At 39.2% G+C, this 17,994-nt stretch overlaps 1 protein-coding gene across 3 annotated transcripts in view; it reads right to left on the bottom strand.

Moving 5' to 3' along the window:
• COPS4 (COP9 signalosome subunit 4) overlaps positions 1-17,994 on the bottom strand; it is a 40,636-nt gene that overhangs the window by 15,397 nt on the left and 7,245 nt on the right. For all 3 annotated transcript variants that reach the window (NM_001330727.2, NM_016129.3, NM_001258006.2), the window contains exons 2-6: positions 14,717-14,796; positions 11,105-11,256; positions 10,438-10,541; positions 3,343-3,496; positions 3,014-3,164 (exon numbers count right to left, since the gene is read on the bottom strand). In NM_001330727.2, coding sequence (NP_001317656.1) covers positions 3,014-3,164; positions 3,343-3,496; positions 10,438-10,541; positions 11,105-11,256; positions 14,717-14,796 — 641 coding nt within the window. The remainder of the gene's footprint in view (positions 1-3,013; positions 3,165-3,342; positions 3,497-10,437; positions 10,542-11,104; positions 11,257-14,716; positions 14,797-17,994) is intronic.

Here is a 17,994-nt window from a genome sequence, read left to right as displayed (position 1 = left end):
AGCCGAGATCGTGCCACTGCACTCCAGCCTGGGCGACAGAGGAAGATTCCGTCTCAAAAAAAAAAAAAAAATTAGCTGCGCGTGGTGGCGGGCACCTGTAGTCCCAGCTACTCCGGAGGCTGAGGCAGGAGAATGGCGTGAACCCAGGAGGCGGAGCTTGCAGTGAGCCGAGATAGTGCCACTGCACTCCAGCCTGGGCGAAAGAGCGAGACTCCATCTCAAAAAAAAAAAAAAAGAACTATACCATCTGTCAAGTATACTATCAAAGAATATCCACAATTACCTGAAAATGCGATTAAAATGTGCTTGTCTTTTCCAGCTACACATCTGTGTGAGGCTGAATTTTCTTCATATACTTTAACTAAAACAACCTATTAAAACGGAGGGAATGCGGAAGTACCTATAAGAATGGAGCTGTTTCGGCCGGGTGCGGTGGCTCACACCTGTAATCCCAGCACTTTGGAAGGCGGAGGAGGGCGGATCACAAGGTCAGGAGATCGAGACCATCCTGGCTAACATGGTGAAACCCCGTCTCTACTAAAAAATACAAAAAATTAGCCAGGTGTGGTGGCAGGCGCCTGCAGTCCCAGCTACTCACTCGGGAGGCTGAGGCGGGAGAATGGCATGAACCTGGGAGGCTGAGCTTGCAGTGAGCCGAGATCGCGCCACTGCACTCCAGCCTGGGCAACAGAGTGAGACTCCGTTTCAAAAACAAACAAACAAAAAAAAAAACAAAAAGAAGAATTGAGCTGTTTCCTATTAAGCTAGATATTGAAAAAAAATTTTAAACATAAAACAATTCCATTCCCAGTAACATTTTTTGCTTTGGAAAAATATAATTGTTTTTCATAAAAGTATGTCATTTATGTTTATATGTAATGGGTCTATTATTGCTACTTTAAAATAAATTAATAAATTGTCTTAAATTACTCATTTAATTTCTAATAATCAGTAGATAGAATCTACATAAACAGGAGCTTTCCGGTTCTCAATACTTTTTCAGAGTGTAAAGGGGTCCTGACACCAAGAAATTTGAGAACCTAAAGTACTGAAAGAAAACATGGGGGGATTTACAACTACATATAATTTCAGAGTAGGGAAGACTTGTCTAAGCAAGTCAACAAAACCTTGAAGCCATTAAAGAAAGATTAATAAATGTAATTAAGTAAACACTAAAAGGTTCTGCATGGCAAAAATGTCATAAACAAAACCAAAAAGATGACAAGTTAGGAAAAATTTTAATTTTCCTTCATATCTAAAGAGCTTCCACAAGCCACCAAGAAAGGACAAACAACTCAAAAAATGGCCAGTCAACATAAATGTATAATTCACTCAATAAAGAAATACAGATTTTCAACAATTTTTTTAAACATACGAAAAATGCTCAAGAGCATTCATCAATACAAATTAAAACTAAAGTGAGATACTGTTTTTCATCTACCAGATCAGAAAAGATAAAAGAATGTGATAATACCTGTGTAAGAAATCAGGTGCTCATGAATGTTTTTGTTTGGAGTGTAATAGTATAGGGCAATGTGGAACGTCTATCAAAAATTCAAAAGTATGTACCTTTGGATCCAGAAAGTTAACCTATACATATACTCATACATGTGCATAATCACTATAGTGTTGTGACTGACTAAATGAATTATGATAAAGCCAGACAATAGAAAACCAAAAAGAATGAGTTATATGTACTGACATGTAAAGATCACTATGATGTATACAGTTACAATAAAAAGGTAAGTTGCAAAAGTGTGTATATGCTACCATTTGTATTGAAAGATAGGTAAGAAACCAGTAAAAGTTCTTTAGAAAAAGAAGCAGTACCATGTTCATGTACTGCGTTTTCAGTAACAAAAAATAAAATAAATAAGATAACTAGTCTATAAAGAATAAAATGGAATGGACGTGGTGGCTCACACCTGTAATCTCAGCACTTTGGGAGGCCAAGGCAGATGGATCACTTGAGCCCAGGAGCTCAAGACCAGACTGGGCAATATGGAGAAACCCCATCTCTAGAAAAATACAAAAAAATTAGCCAGGCATGGTGGTGTGCACCTGTAGTCCCAGCTACTTGGGAGGTTGAAGTGGGAGGATCACTTGAGCCCAGGAGATTGAGGCTGTAGTAAGCAGTGACTGCGCCACTGCACTCCAGCCTGGGTGATAGAGCAATTTAAGAAAAGCTATGGTTTAGAATTAGCATTTCCTCTTAATACCCATTCTACTTCATAAGTGATTTACATGCTAAAATTCAGTAAAAAGAACAAACAATATTTGTTACACGTATTGAAGAAAAGGATAAATGCCAGGTCTAAAACTAAGGCTTGAAGGTTAAAAAAAAAAACCCAAAAGCAGTGCATTAATTATCATTTCATCAATCTATAGATTTTAATTTTTGTTTCACTCTGCGTAATTCTCAAGTTGATATCCACTTCTTTAGTGAAATTTTAGAACTTTATATTATCTCTTTTAACTATTCTTTTTTTTTTTTTTTTTTTTGAGACAGAGTCTCTCTGTCGCCCTGGCTGGAGTGCAGTGGCCTGATCTCGGCTCACTACAAGCTCCACCTCCTGGATTCACGCCATTCTCCTGCCTCAGCCTCCCCCACAGCTGGGACTACAGGCGCCTGCCACCACGCCCGGCTAATTTTTTGTATTTTTAGTAGAGATGGGGTTTCACCTTGTTAGCCAGGATGGTCTCGATCTCCTGACCTCGTGATCCACCCGCCTCGGCCTCCCAAAGTGCTGGGATTACAAGTGTGAGCCACCGCGCCCAGCCCTCTTTTAACTATTCTTACCACATATGCATAATAGGCTGATATGAGCATATTAAATTATTTAACAAATCATTTTATTTCTGTTTTTAAACACTTAAACTACATTTACCATAACTGTATTATGAAGACATCCTTTTGAAGAATAGTTCCTTGCTAAATTTTCCAACAGTAACCAACCTAAAGTTATTAAGCAAAGATAACTGTTCATTTAAGTATAAATTATTACGTGTTTACCTGCTGATGCTAAGATCGTACAGTGCAAAGCATGTTTTAAGGCCTCTAGTCTTTCACTTTCGTGGACTATTGTCTTGTAAGAGAGCTCATTGTACCTTTGTGCAGCTTCAATGAATTTTCTTCTATAATCAAGAACACGTGCATAGCATACCTAACAGAGGGAAAATATTTCAATTAGGGGACAAATTAAAAAGCAAGAGTTAAACAAAACAAAACAAAACAGAGAAACAATTTCTAATATTTAAGAGCATCTATCAGATGTCCTGGAACATCTTAGTATGTTACAATTCTCCAATACAAAAGTAATTCCAAATCAACTCATCTGTTACCTTATAATGTATCTGTAATTGTTCATTGGTTGATTCATTCTGAAGCAACGATGCTCGATTTATGTAAGCCTCTGCCTGGACTGGATCATCATCCTCCAGATATAGCCTAGCAATCTTCAAGTAAGTCTCCAGTTTATAATCTACATTGTACTGTCTAGGATGTAACAGAAAAACACATAATGACTCAACATTTTGTCAAGAAAATTTTAGGAATAATAGAAGATATGTTGTTTTTTCCTGATATATATTCTGGTACCGTAAGGGAATCAAACTTTTTTTTTGAGATGGAGTCTTGCTCTGTCGCCCAGGCTGGAGTGCAGTGGTGCAATATTGGCTCACTGCAAACTCCCCCTCCCGGGTTCACGCCATTCTCCTGCCTCAGCCTCCCAAGTAGCTGGGACTACAGGCGGCAGCCACCACGCCCAGCTAATTTTTTGTATTTTTTAGTAGAGACGGGGTTTCATCGTGTTAGCCAGGATGGTTTCGATCTCCTGACCTCATGATCCACCCGCCTCGGCCTCCCAAAGTGCTGGGATTACAGGCGTGAGCCACTGCCCCCGGCCGGGAATCAAACTTTTTACTGCATTACACAAAAACTAAAAAGTTTTATTGAATTTTTATTATCATTAATCACATTATATCTTAGCTGCTTTTAATCCTCAGATAATCTCACAAGCTAAAGATCTTAAAAGAACAACTGCCCAGTTTAGGGGTATATCATATATGACTAGTGGGACAACCTTCCTAGAAAATAACTGGGAAATATGCTCTCCAACCATCCTTTGAATCCTTTAAAATGCATATACCCTTAACCCACTATACATTTACCTTTAGAAAATAAATCCTAAGGCCGGGCGTGGTGGCTCATGCCTGTATTTCCAGCAATTTGGGATGCCTAGGCAGGTGGATCACCTGAGGTCAGGAGTTCAAGACCACCCTGACCAACATGGTAAAACCCTGTCTCTACTAAAAATACAAAAAATTAGCCGGGCATGGTTGGCACCACACTTGTAATCCCAGCTACTCGGGAGGCTGAGACAGGAGAATTGCTTGAACCCAGGAGGCACAGGTTGCAGTGAGCCAAGATCGTGACATTGCACTCCGGCCTGGGTGACAGAGTGAGACTTCGTCTCAAAAAAAAAAAAAAGAAAAAGAAAAAAAAGAAAAGAAAAGAAATCCTAAAAAGAGAGCCAGGTATGTGCACACATATTCATCTAAAAGGATATTCATTTGTAAAATTATTTATTTATAAATATCTATGCTAGGAAAAAAATTGGAAATCACCCATTATGATATTATTGGTGATCAAGTTGTGGTGCATAAAAATGGTAGAATACAAGACTGGGCGCGGTGGCTCACACCTGTAATCCCAGCACTTTGGGAGCCCGAGGCGGGCAGATCACGAGGTCAGGAGTTCAAGGCCAGCCTGACCAATATGGTGAAACCCTGTCTCTACTAAAATAAAAAAATTAGCCAGGCATAGAGGCACATGCCTGCAGTCCCAGCTACTAGGGAGGCTGAGGCAGGAGAATAGCTTGAACCCGGGAGGTGGAGGTTGCAGTAAGCCGAGATCATGCCACTGCACTCCAGCCTGGGCAACAGAGTGAGACTCCATCTCAAAAAAAAAAAAAAGGTAGAATACTGTATAGTTATAATCTAGTCACCACGTATTTTTCCTAAATGAAAAAACTGGATAAAACAGTATGTAAAACACTATTAAAATATATTTCTATACACATATATCAAAATACTAATAGCAATTATCTGTGGGTAGTCAGATTATAGGTGGCTTTCATTTTCTTCTTCATCTCAGTGGTCACATTTTATGCCAGGAGTGCATAACTAAAGACCTCACATAACTCAAAACTCACATGAAACAAGATTAATCCTAACAGAAAAATTAATCCTATTTACCTGCAAAAGTGGTGCCACCATGTGGCAAGAACACAGAGTTTATAATTCACTTGGCCCCAGCTTTGAAAATAATTCTATACTTTATTGATTTGGGGGCAAAGGAGAATGGGAGGAGAAATTTATGCAAATTTATTCCTTGCATATATTAATATTCTGTACTTTTTTCCATTCACAATTCAAATTTACATTGCTTGCTATGCATAGCACTATACTGTTGAATTTTCCAATTTTTTGCCAAGTGTAACTATTATATCGATTACTTTCATAATCAGAATGAATCATTTTTTGAAAGAAAAAGTTCCCATTTATCCAAAGTCTACATTTAGTCACTTTAACTCGTTTAGAAAACCAATGACATTTTTATCTCTTTGGTTTCCTCACAGATGAGGATAACACTATAGTACTATAAAATGATAATTATGACCACTGCAAAAAACAGTATCTAATTTTATATTTGTTTCAGCTACCACTGAAAATAAATCAATTGCCCTGTGCTAGGGAAAAAATGCTAGGTAAAGAATAAGACCAAAGCAATCAAGAAAGCCCAGCTTTTTCAAACTACCAAATTATCAAGGGACCTTGAAATGCAAAATTCAACATCTACATATGAAGGCTTTTTTACAAACTGGCCGCTTTTTCAAGGAGCATCATTGCCAAGTAATTTCATAAATAATGCACAAAAAAGGCAAGATGTCTGAAGCAGTGTCTGCCTCACTATTGCAAATATTAATGAAGAACAAAAAAAGAATCCCCCGTTCACCTGGCAAACGAGTAGAAAAGCAGATGAAGTTATTTTTTGTTTTGTTTTGTTTTGTTTTGTTTTTGAGATGGAGTCTCGCTCTGTCACCCTGGCTGGAGTGCAGTGGTGTGATCTTGGCTCACTGCAAGCTCCGCCTCCCAGGTTCACACCATTCTCCTGCCTCAGCCTCCCAAGTAGCTGGGACTACAGGCGCCTGCCACCACACCTGGCTAATTTTTTATATTTTTAGTAGAGACGTGGTTTCACCATGTTAGCCAGGATGGTCTTGATCTCCTGACCTTGTGATCCGCCTGCCTCAGCCTCCCAAAGTGCTGGGATTACAGGTGTGAGCCACCGCGCCTGGCCAAAGATATTTTTAAGTCCTTCACAGTTGGTACCGTTTTATACTTGCCAACTGGAAGAGGAAGTGTTTTCAATACAATAAGCAATAGTCTCATACCTTTCATCCTTCTCGTGCAATATACTTAGGAGAAATGTTTCATAAAGAACTATAAATTTTAAAAAACATATACATCAAGAGGTAAGATTGGTTGAGTAAGAGTTATAAACCATCTTTTTTTTTTTTTGAGACAGAGTCTTACTCTGTCACCCAGGCTGGAGTGCAGTGGTGCAATCTCGGCTCACTGCAACCTCCACATCCCGGGTTCAAATGATTCTTGTGCTTCAGCCTCCCCAGTAGCTGGGATTACAGGCACATGAGACCACACCGGCTAATTTTTGTATTTTTAGTAGAAACAAGGTTTCACCATGTTGGCCAGGCTGATCTCAAGCTCCCGACCTCAGGTGATCTGCCCACCTCAGCCTCCCAATGTGCTGGGATTACAGGCGTGAGCTACCACGCCCTGCCATCTTAATTTTTTAAAATTGTTTTTCTACCTCATTTTCTCTAGTATCTCAAACCCAACAATCCTTGAACCCACTGTGCCCTCCAAACCACTTATCCCTTACATGTCACTGCCTTTCTCCATAAAGGCCTCACTTCCCTCTTTACCTAGCCTAACTCCTATGGTCACTCATTGTAATAACTTATCATCATTGAACCGCATAGGTACTCATCTCCCTTGTCCCTCTCTTGCTGTCATACTTGTTAGGCAAAAATTGCAACTGTGGTTAAACCTAATTGTTTGCTCACTCCTTTCCCGTACTCATGTAGCTGAAATGTGATGGGAAAAAGCACCAAATCAAATTTTTTTTAGAGATGGGGTCTTAGTGTGTTGCCCAGTCTGGGCTCAAATTTCTGGGCTCACAAGATCCTCCCACCTCCGCTGGGACTGAGGCTTGTAGCCAGGACTACAAGCATGAAGCCACTGTGCCCAGTATGACTGATCTAATTTTAATCATTATGATCTTCAACAAGTCCTTAATGCTGCCAAGTTTACATGCTGAGTCCATTCATTGTCCCACTCTCCTAAGGGGATTACTTCTCACATTATTGTCTCTCCTCAACCTCACACTGCAACCCCATCCACCGTTCCAGCTGATGTCTCTGATTTCAACTTCCTTAAGAATATTGAAGCAAGGCTGGGCATGGTGGCTCACACCTGTAATCCCAGCACTTTGGGAGGCCAAGGCAGGTGGATTGCTTGAGCCCTGGAGTTTGAGACCAGCCTGGGCAACATGGTGAAACCCCGTTTCTACTAAAAATACAAAAATTAGCCAGGCGTAGTGGTGTGCACCTGTAGTCCCAACTACTTGGGATGCTAGGAGACGGACACTGAAGTGAGCTGAGATCACACCACTGCACTACAGCTTGGTTGACAGAGCCAGACCCTCTCTCAAAACCAAAAAGCCAACAAAAAAAGAATACTGGAGCAATGCAATGAAAGAGTACTTACACAAATTCCACCACTATATCACTAATATGTCTACAGACATTTTTCTTGTCACAACTAGGAACAGCAGTACTATTGGCATCCAGCAATCAGAGGAGTGGTGCTGCTAAAACCTCCTGCAATACACAGGACAGCCCCCACAACAAAGTATCTAGCCGAAAACGCCAGTAGTGCTGAGGCTGAGAATCTCTGACACAGATGAACTACCCATATTCCTATCTAAAGCCTATCCCTCTGCTAGATTCCTTCCTCTCTTGTCTACTCCTGCAAGAATCCTCTCCCCAATTCCCCTATATCAAATTTTTGCTTTCTACTGGATCATAAAAGAAAAACTAATCCCTTAGCCTAACGTCTGCTGTCATCGTCTACCCTGTTTTTCTTCCTACCTTTTTTGAAAACTCCCCCACAGGGTAGCCCATACTCACTATCTCCACATCTTCTCTTCCCATTCTCTCTTAAACCATGCAATCAGGCTTTCACTATCATTTCACAAAACTCAGCTGGTTAAGGTTATCAGTGGCCTCTACACTACTAATGCCAACAGTTAACCTGTACTCCTTATCTTACTTGACCTATCAATGCCATAGCTCACCACCTGGCCCTTGATACATTTTCCTCATTTGGCTTCTAGGACACCACCCTCCACATTATTCTGATTTCCTTCTTACCTCAATGGATAATCCTTCTCATTTGCTACATCTTCCCCTGGTCCCAACCTCTTAACGTTGAAGTGCTCCAGGCCTCACTATACTCAGTCCTTTTGCCTATCTACATTCTCTCCTTTGGGCATCTCATCCAATCTAATGGCTTTAAATTTCATCTATATGTCAATAACTCCCAAATATGTATATCTAGTCCAGATATCTCTTCTAATCTCCAGACTAATACATTCAACTCCTCACTACATATTTCTACTTGGATATCATATGTCCAAAATGAAACTCTTGATATTCCCTACAAACCTATTCTTCCCCACTCCAACTTTCCAATTGCTCAGGCCAAAAATCAGGGCTTATCTTGACTCTTTTTTGCACACTCTACATACAAGCCATCAGGAAATCCTTACTCTACCTTAAAAAACATATCTAGAATTCAATACTTCTCACAACATCCACCTTATCTGTGGTACTGTATAAGCCTTTTTTAAAAAAGACAGGGTCTTGCTTTGTGCCCTAGGTGGGAGTACAGCAGTGCAATCATGGCCCACTGCAGCCTCAAATTACTGGGTTCACACAATCCTCTCGCCTCAGCTTCCCAACTACCTGGGAGTATAGATGCATATCCATACTATATCACCAGGCCCAGCTAATTTAAAACAAAAAAAAATTTTTTTGTAGGGATGGGGGGTGTTCTCAATATGTTGTCCAAGTTGGTCTCAAACTCCTGGGCTCAAGCGATCCTCCCGCCTCAGCCTCCCAAGTAGCTAGGACTACAGGCATGTGCCATCATGCCCAGCATTTTTTTTTTTTTTTTTTGGTGGAGATGGGGTCTAGCTATGCTGCCCAAGTGGTTCTCGAACTCCTGGGCTCAAGCAATCTTCTCCCACCTCAGCCTCCCAAAGTGCTTGGACCATAGGTGTGAGCCACTGTACCTGGTCTCATAAGCCTCTTAACCAATATCCCTACTTCTATCACTGCTTGCCTACAGTTTATTCTCAACCCAGTAGTGAGAGTAATTATTTAAAACAGAAGTCAGATCATTTCACTGTTTGTTCACAATTCTCCAATGGCTCCCCCTCATTTCACTTAGTGAAAAGCCAAATTCCTTACAATGGCTTATAAAACTCCACATAACCTGGTCCCCAGTACTCTCTACTCTCATCCCTGATCTCTTGCCCCTTTGCTCACTCTACTCTATCCACACTGGCCTCCTTGCTCTTATTAAGAAAACACTTCAAGCTTGCTCCCATCTTAGGGCCTTTGCACTAGCCATCTCCTCTAAGAGTATCTAGTGATGATATTCGGCCAGGTGCAGTGGCTCACAGACCTGTAATCCCAGCACTTAGAGAGGCTGAAGTAGGTGGATCACTTGAGGTCAGGAGTTTGAGACCAACCTGGCTAACATGGTGAAACCTAGTAAACATGGTGAAAATCTAGTAAAAATACAAAAATAGCCAGGTGTGGTGGTGCATGCCTGTAGTCCCAGCTACTTGGGAGGCTGAGGCAGGAGAATTGCTTGAACCCAGGAGGCAGAGGTTGCAGTGAGCCGAGATCATGCCACTGCACTCCAGCCTGGGCAACAGAGCAAAACTCCGTCACAAAAAACAACAACAACAACAACAACAACAAGAGTATCTGGTGATATTCTTTCCTCAGATCACTCTTAGCTACTCCCTTATCTCCTTCAAGTCTTTGATAAAGTGACATCAGGGCCACCCTACTACCCCAATCACCCTATTTAAATATACATACAACCTGTCCCCGCTTTGCCCCATTACTTTTCTCCACAGCACTTATCACCTTCTAACATACTACACAATTTTGTATTTATTTGTTTATCTGTTTCCTGTACTAGAATGTAAGAAAAAATATAAGTGAGCAATTATATACATCCTATATATAGTCATCCAATATCCACTATTTACTATACTTTTGTCCTGTTTCCAAAGGAATTCCCACCAACACTTGGGCTGCATTTCTCCAATCTTCTTCTTTCTCATATATAGATGCAAGATGCTGTCTTATGGAAGCAACCTGGAATAATAGGTATACATGTCAAATTATTTCAACTGACATTAGTAACTAATTAAAATAAATAGGAAAGTTATTCTAAAGTGGCAATTCAACATACTAAGCTGCCACGTAAACAGTAAACGTTTATCAAGACCACCCAAGTTTTCCTACGAATTTTGCATTTACAGAATATCAAACTAGTGAACGGAAGCAACACATTTCTGCAATGTGGATTATGGTACAATACTGTAGTTTAAACATTAAATTTAGCTTGTATGTTCCTGCATACACGATGCTGGAGTTTTCCTGTGTTTTCAGCTGAAATACCAATTTTACTGATTTTAAAAAATTGTCTAGAGAGCAATATTTGATTCACAAAATCAAATTTTACTTTATAAGCAAATGTCAGTTGGAGTTGTAACAACCTAATATTTACTTGATTTTGCATCATAAAATGTCGTTTGGCACACTGTTTTGTCAAAAATGAAATTGGATGATTATCTCCTTTAAGAATTTACTAATATCAGATTCTCAAAATAACTGCTGCTATCTCAAGTTAAAAAACCACTTCTCTAGATTTTTACCTGCTCCTCAAATGAAATGACTCTAGGCTGGATCTTTTCCAAGGTGAAGTGATAGATTTCTTTGGCTGTGCTATCAGGCAAGTTAGGAAGATGTGTGCAAAAATCAGTCAGCAACTGCCGCGAGATCACGAGACTGACATTCTCATTTACCACTTGTTTAAAAAAAAAAAAAAGATAAGAAAACATGAGCTGATAAATTGTCATTAAACAATCAACCTTTACTTAAAATTAATACTAACAACAATCTATATTAGTACAGCCTTCAATGCATTATTCAAGGATTTCCATACCCCTATCATTTTATATTACATCATCAGTTTTCCTTATGCTGAAATACTTGATTACACAATGACCACACAAAAACAGTAAAAATAGGCCAGTGCGATGGCTCACGCCTGTAATCTCAGCACTTTGGGAGGCCGAGGCAGGCAGATCACGACGTCAGGAGTTCGAGACCAGCCTGACCAACGTGGTGAAACGCTGTCTCTACTAAAAATACAAAAAAAAAATTAGTCAGGCATGGTGGTGGGCACCTGTAGTCCCAGCTACTCAGGAGGCTAAGGCAAGAGAATCGCTTGAACCTGGGAGGCTGGGGTTGCAGTGAGCCGAGATCACAGCACCGTACTCCAGCCTGGGCAACAGAGCTAGACTCTGTCTCAAAATTAATTAATTCATTAATTAATTAAAAAATCTTAAAAAACAGTAAAAATAACACAACTTTTCTAAGAAACAGAAATAATTGAAAAAAGTTTTAAAAGTTGATAATTTTATCTCATTTTTCTACAAAGTGAAGGCACAAAAACACCTATATTTTTATTTATGTGCTTATATCCTACCTTGTTCCAAAAAGGAGTTAAAAAAGAAAACAGTAAAATAATTTTCATGAAATTTAAATAAAGCAAGTGCTGCCAGTACAGTTATTGCCACTTATACTTTCCCAATAAAAACAATAAATAAGAACTTCAGTGAGCACTAGATGTATTGACATTATTTATAAACATTTACGAGGTATTATTTTATGTGATTAAGCTCTGGAGCCACACTGCTTCTACCACTACTGATTATATGACTTCAGACAAGAAACTTAACTTCTCTATGCTTCTCTGTGCTTCTGTTTCCTCATGTGTAACATCTATTTCATAAGGTTGTTATGAAGCTTAAATGCAATAATATACACAAAGCACTTTAAACAATACCTGGTACATAGCACTCAACAAATGTTACTATTATAACTATCATTTTAAATGCATCATTCTTGTAAACTATTGCTTAGATAAATTATTCAAGTCTTTTTTATTATTATTATTTTTTTTTTTTGAGACTGAGTCTCGCTCTGTCGCCCAGGCTGGAGTGCAGTGGCACCATCTTGGCTCACTGCAAGCTCCACCTCCCGGGTTCATGCCATTCTCCTGCCTCAGCCTCCTGAGTAGCTGGGACTACAGGCACCCGCCACCACGCCCAGCTGATTTTTTTGTATTTTTAGTAGAGATAGGGTTTCACCGTGTTAGCCAAAATGGTCTTGATCTCCTGACCTCGTGATCCGCCCATCTCGGTCTCCCAAAGTGCTGGGACTACAGGCGTAAGCCATGGCCCCGGCCAATTATTCAAGTCTTAAAGCAGCAGTTAATATGAAAATAAGTGATTCAAAAACTGTTCAGTTGATGTAAATGATTTTAACAGTAGACTGCTTTTCCTGGTGGTTTACTGGATTCAAAGCTTATACAAAGATCAAAAAATATATATATATATGTTTTTTAATTGTTTTTTTGAGACAATCTTACTGCTGCCCAGGCTGGAGCGCAGTGATGCAACCTCAGCTCACTTCAGTCTCGACCACCGGGGCTCAAGCAGTCTTCCCACCTCAGCGTCCCAATAGCTGGGACTACAGGCATGCATCACCACGCCAGGCTAATTTTCGTATTTTTTTGTAGAGACGAGATTTCTCCACATTGCCCAGGCTGGTTTTGAACTCCTGAGCTCAAGTGATCCCTTGGCTGGGTGCCATGACTCATACCTGTAATCGCAAAGTGTTGGGATTACAGGCATGAGCCACCGTGCCCAGCCAAGATCAAAGTTATAAAAAGCATTATTCTTCTGCTACTACAGTGCAAAGTTCTTAATAAACCACTCCTAACAGTTTTTTGGAAACCATTGCTAGTTTATCTCACACCGGAGGCCATGATTTTTTAAGGCAGTAACCTTTTAAGTTTTAAGGCAGTAACTTTTTAAGGCAGTATTTTTTTAAGGCAGTTGTAATTAATTAATCACATATTAATTGGAATTCATTATTGGGTAATACAGGATGTGACTGAGAAAACAGTTTCATTACAAGTGTCATTAGGCATTTAAGTTACCATACAAGCTGGTATTACTCAGGGAAATATAAGCAAGTAAGAGCAGTGTATCAGAAAACCTAGTTTCTGATCTGGGCTCTGCCAGCTAAATGTCCTTGAAAAAAAGTTACTCAATCCTGAGACTTGTCTTACAATATATTATACAGGGATACCTGTACCTATACGTTCTAGTCACAGGTTATTAAAAGGAGCCTATGTGACAGGTAATGTGTGTGAGAACACACTGTAAAGCACTATCAGATATCATTAATGATGTGAACTCACTATAAAATTCCATGTGAACTCACTATAAAATTCCTTAGGATAATGGCCTACAGACATATGCATGTTGCTGCACAGGACATGATTGTATTCTTTTTAATGTGTGCGTAGTATTTTATGGTGTATATGTGGCACATATTTCTATCCAATTTATTGATTCACACATAAGTTAAGTCCATGCCTTCCTTATTGTGAATAGCAATATGGCGAATATACAAGTGCATGTGGGGTTTCTTTTTGTGGAATTTTTAATTTTCTTTTGGATATATACTCAGTAATGGAATTGCTGGTTGAATGGTACTTCTGCTTTAAATTCTTTGAATAATCTCCAAACTGCTTTTCACAGTGGCTGAACTAATTTACATTCTCACCAACAGTGTATAAGCATTTCATTTTCTCTGAAGTCTAACCAGAATTTGTTATTTTTTTACTTTTTAATAGTAGCCATTCTGACTAATATTAGATGGCATCCCACATTGATTTGCATTTCTCTGATGATTAGTGATGTTGAACATTAAGAAAACAACCCCATTAAAACATTGACAAGGGACATAAGCAGACACTTCTCAAAGTACAGTACTGTACTACCCTGTAGTACAGTAATGTACTATAGAGTACATTTTAGGTACATTAGATGTACTACAGAGTACATTTTAAAGAGGAAAAGGAGGCACAGAGAGGTTAAATAATTGACCCAAGATCACACAGCTCATAAAATAGCATACCAGGATTTGAATCCAAACTATTCTCTTTACTATTATGCTATATTGTCCCTTATCAGCTATTATAACAATAAACATACAAAACTTTAATTAGGATTGTAATTCTGAAGATAATTCACTGAAAATTAATCAAGTTGTAAACAGTTTAAATTCTAAAATCAATCAATCTCAATGCATATTTAATATTGATAATTTGATACAAAACAAGGCTTGAGAGAACTTTAAAGTCCTAGCTCAGTAATACAAGGCAAGCATGAAATTTCCATTTCACTTACTTGCTTCCACAAAAGCTTTCAAAGCTTCTAGTTGTTCTGCTCCAGATAACTGAATGGCTTTTTCCAGGATCTGACGATACCTACAACAATACCAAATGAAAATAATGTTCTGAGGGTACTATATTTTCTAATGCAAACTTTGATGTGTATTTATTCATTTCTACATACCTTGGTTTCTTTCATAGTACTATAGTTTGTGGTTTTCTTTATAGTATACCACAGATTTTTTTTTAAGTTTCTAGTCTATCACAAGAGATATTAAATCTATAATTATATAAGGTACCACTTCATCTAGTTTTCAGTATAGTATACCAGAATTTTTTAAGTTTTCAAGCTCATCACAAGAAAGAATGAATCTATAATTCTGTTACTGAATCTAAGGTGTCACTTTTTCTTGAAGGTTTTATTTTTGAATTTAAACTACAAAGTCAATTTCCTTTCAAATGCCTTAAAAGATAAGCTATATTTCCTTCAACTGTGCAATACATAGACACACAAAAACATTATTTGAGGTGACCTGAATCTTTTCCTCTTACAGACGTAATGTATGTAGGGTCACCAGCAATAGGATAATGTTGACCAGGCAACGAAACCAAACATTAAAGACTGAATGTCTTAGTCTGTACAAAATAAACTTCGCCAAGCCAAATGCACTGATAGAATACCATTTATGCTGTCAGACAGTACCTATTTATTCTTTATTTGCATTCAGATCTAATAACTATTCTACCTAATATCTGTGACCACACAAGCTCCACGAGGACAGGAATTCTTGTGTTTTGTTCTCTGCTATGTAGACAATTATCTCAATTCTTGGCACATCATAAGCACTCAAATATTCAACGGTATTAGTAATGTTTTATTTCTTAACGAGTGGTTAGTATATGAGTGTTATACTATTCTTTTGTTGTTGTTGTTGTTGTTGTTTTTGAAGACGGAGTCTCGCTCTGTCACCCAGGCTGGAGTGCAGTGGCGCAATCTTGGCTCACTGCAACCTCCACCTCCCAGGTTCAAGCGATTCTCCTGCCTCAGCCTCCTGAGTAGCTGGGATTACAGGCATGCGCCACCACGCCTGGCTAATTTTTGTATTTTTAGTAAAGATGGGGTTTCACCATGTGGTCAGGCTGGTCTCAAACTCCCGACCTCATGATCCGCCCACCTCAGCCTCCCAAAGTGCTGGGATTACAGGCGTTAGCCACCGTGCCCGGCCTATACTAATCTTTATCTCTTTTGTCTTAATCATTTTTTTTTTTTTTTTTTTGAGATGGAGTCTTGCTCTGTCACCCAGGCTGGAGTGCACTGGCGCAATCTCGGCTCACTGCAACCTCCGCCTCCCAGGTTCAAGCAATTCTCCTGCCTCAGCCTCCAGAGTAGCGAGGACTACAGGCATGCACCACCAAGTGCGGCTAATTTTTGTATTTTTGGTAGAGATGGGGTTTCCGCATGTTGGCCAGGCTGGTCTTGAACTCCTGACCTCAGGTGATCCGCCCACCTCGGGCTCCCACAGTGCTGGGATTACAGGCGTGAGCCACCGCGCCCAGCCAATTGTAATATTTTTTAAAAGCACTAAATACATTTTACAAACCTCATAGCATTGCAATTATTCGGAAAGTCATCCAGAATAGAGTTACGAAATAAATATACAAAAATAGAACCTGAACTCATTCAGATTTATGACTTTTATTTTGTAGGGCACACCCTCAAGCTACCACTCAGCATTACTGACTCTCAACTCATACAAAATTCTCACAACCTTGGTTATCTGATTTCTCAAAACCACAATGAATCAAAGTGACTTTAAGAAAGCAGATATACGGATAGAAAAGATAGCAAATTCCAAAAGAAGAAATAAATTATTCTAAGAAAGCAAGGAAATATTAAGTTTTTAGAAAATTATATTTTCAATATTGCTAAGTTTGAGGGTCCTTAAAAGATAAATTACTTTATGGCCCTGGGCATGCTTTCAGATAAGTTATACATTCAATGGTTTGTTATTTTTTATTTTTTTCATATTTAATTAAATCAAGGGTTATTGCTAAGATCTCTTACTTTTATATCCTCTTAGATTATTTTATACTAACAACATTATATTCAAAGGTAATAGTGTCTCACTTATATAAATTTGCTAATTAACCTAAGTTGTTTTGTGGTTGTTATGGTTTTTTTTTTTTTTTTTTTTTTTTTTTTGAGACAGGGTCTCACTCTGTCGCCCAGGCTAGAGTGCAGTGACATGATCATAGCTCACTGTAACCTCCAATTCCTGGGCTCAAACAATCCTCCTGCTTCTGCCTCCTGAGTAGCTAGGACTACAGGCATGTGCCACGACCCCTGGTTAACTGTTCTTTTCTTTTTGTAGAGATGGGGTCTCACTACATTGCCCAAACTGGTCTCCAACTTCTGGACTCAAGCAATCCTCCCAACTCAGCCTCCCCAAGTGCTGGGATTACAGGCTTGAGCCACTGTGCCTGGCCTAACCTAAGTTTTAACACATAGTTTCATAATCAATCAACTAATCTGTATTGGGAATAGGAAGAAAAAATGAAAATAAACCAACCTAAAAAGTGATCAAAGTTTTATACTCATCAAATTATATAACTTATAGAGGCCTTAGAAATTGTGTACATAAACTCCCAATTTTATAAATGAATAAATTGAGGGCCAGTCGCAGTGGCTCATGCCTGTAATCCTACCACTTTGGGAGGCCAAAGAAAGTAGATCACTTGAGTCCAGGAGTTCAAGACCAGCCTGGGCAATGTGGTGAAACCTCATCTCTACAAAAAAAAAAAAAAAATACAAAAATTGGTTGGGCGTGGTGGCTCATGCCTGTAATCCCAGCACTTTGGGAGGCCAAGGCAGTCAGATGGCTTGATCTCAGGAGTTCGAGACCAGTCTGAGCAACATAGTAAAACCTCATCTCTACCAAAAATATAAAAAAATTAGCCAGGCATTGTGGCACACACCTGTGGTGCCAGCTACTTGGGAGGCTGAGGGGGGAGGATTGCCTGAGCCCAGGAGGTGGAGGTTGCAGTGAGCTGAGATCTTGCCACTGCAACTCCAACCTGGGCAACAGAGTGATATCTCATCTCAAAAATAAAAATTTTAAAAATAAAAAAAAATTACAAAAATTAGCCAGCTGTGGTGGCGTGTGCCTGGACAGAGCAAGACCTTGTCTCAAAAAAAAAAAAAAATTAATTAATTAAAAAAAGTGAGGTACAGCACTGTGGCTACATTACATGCTCCCTTGCTTCTCTAATATGTAAATTCTAGTATCTAACAAC

This window comes from Homo sapiens, chromosome 4, assembly GCF_000001405.40.
Source record: "Homo sapiens chromosome 4, GRCh38.p14 Primary Assembly".
In the NCBI taxonomy this organism is placed as follows: domain Eukaryota; kingdom Metazoa; phylum Chordata; class Mammalia; order Primates; family Hominidae; genus Homo; species Homo sapiens.
Note: the sequence above shows the minus strand (reverse complement) of the source record. Positions and strands in the feature narration are given on the sequence as shown.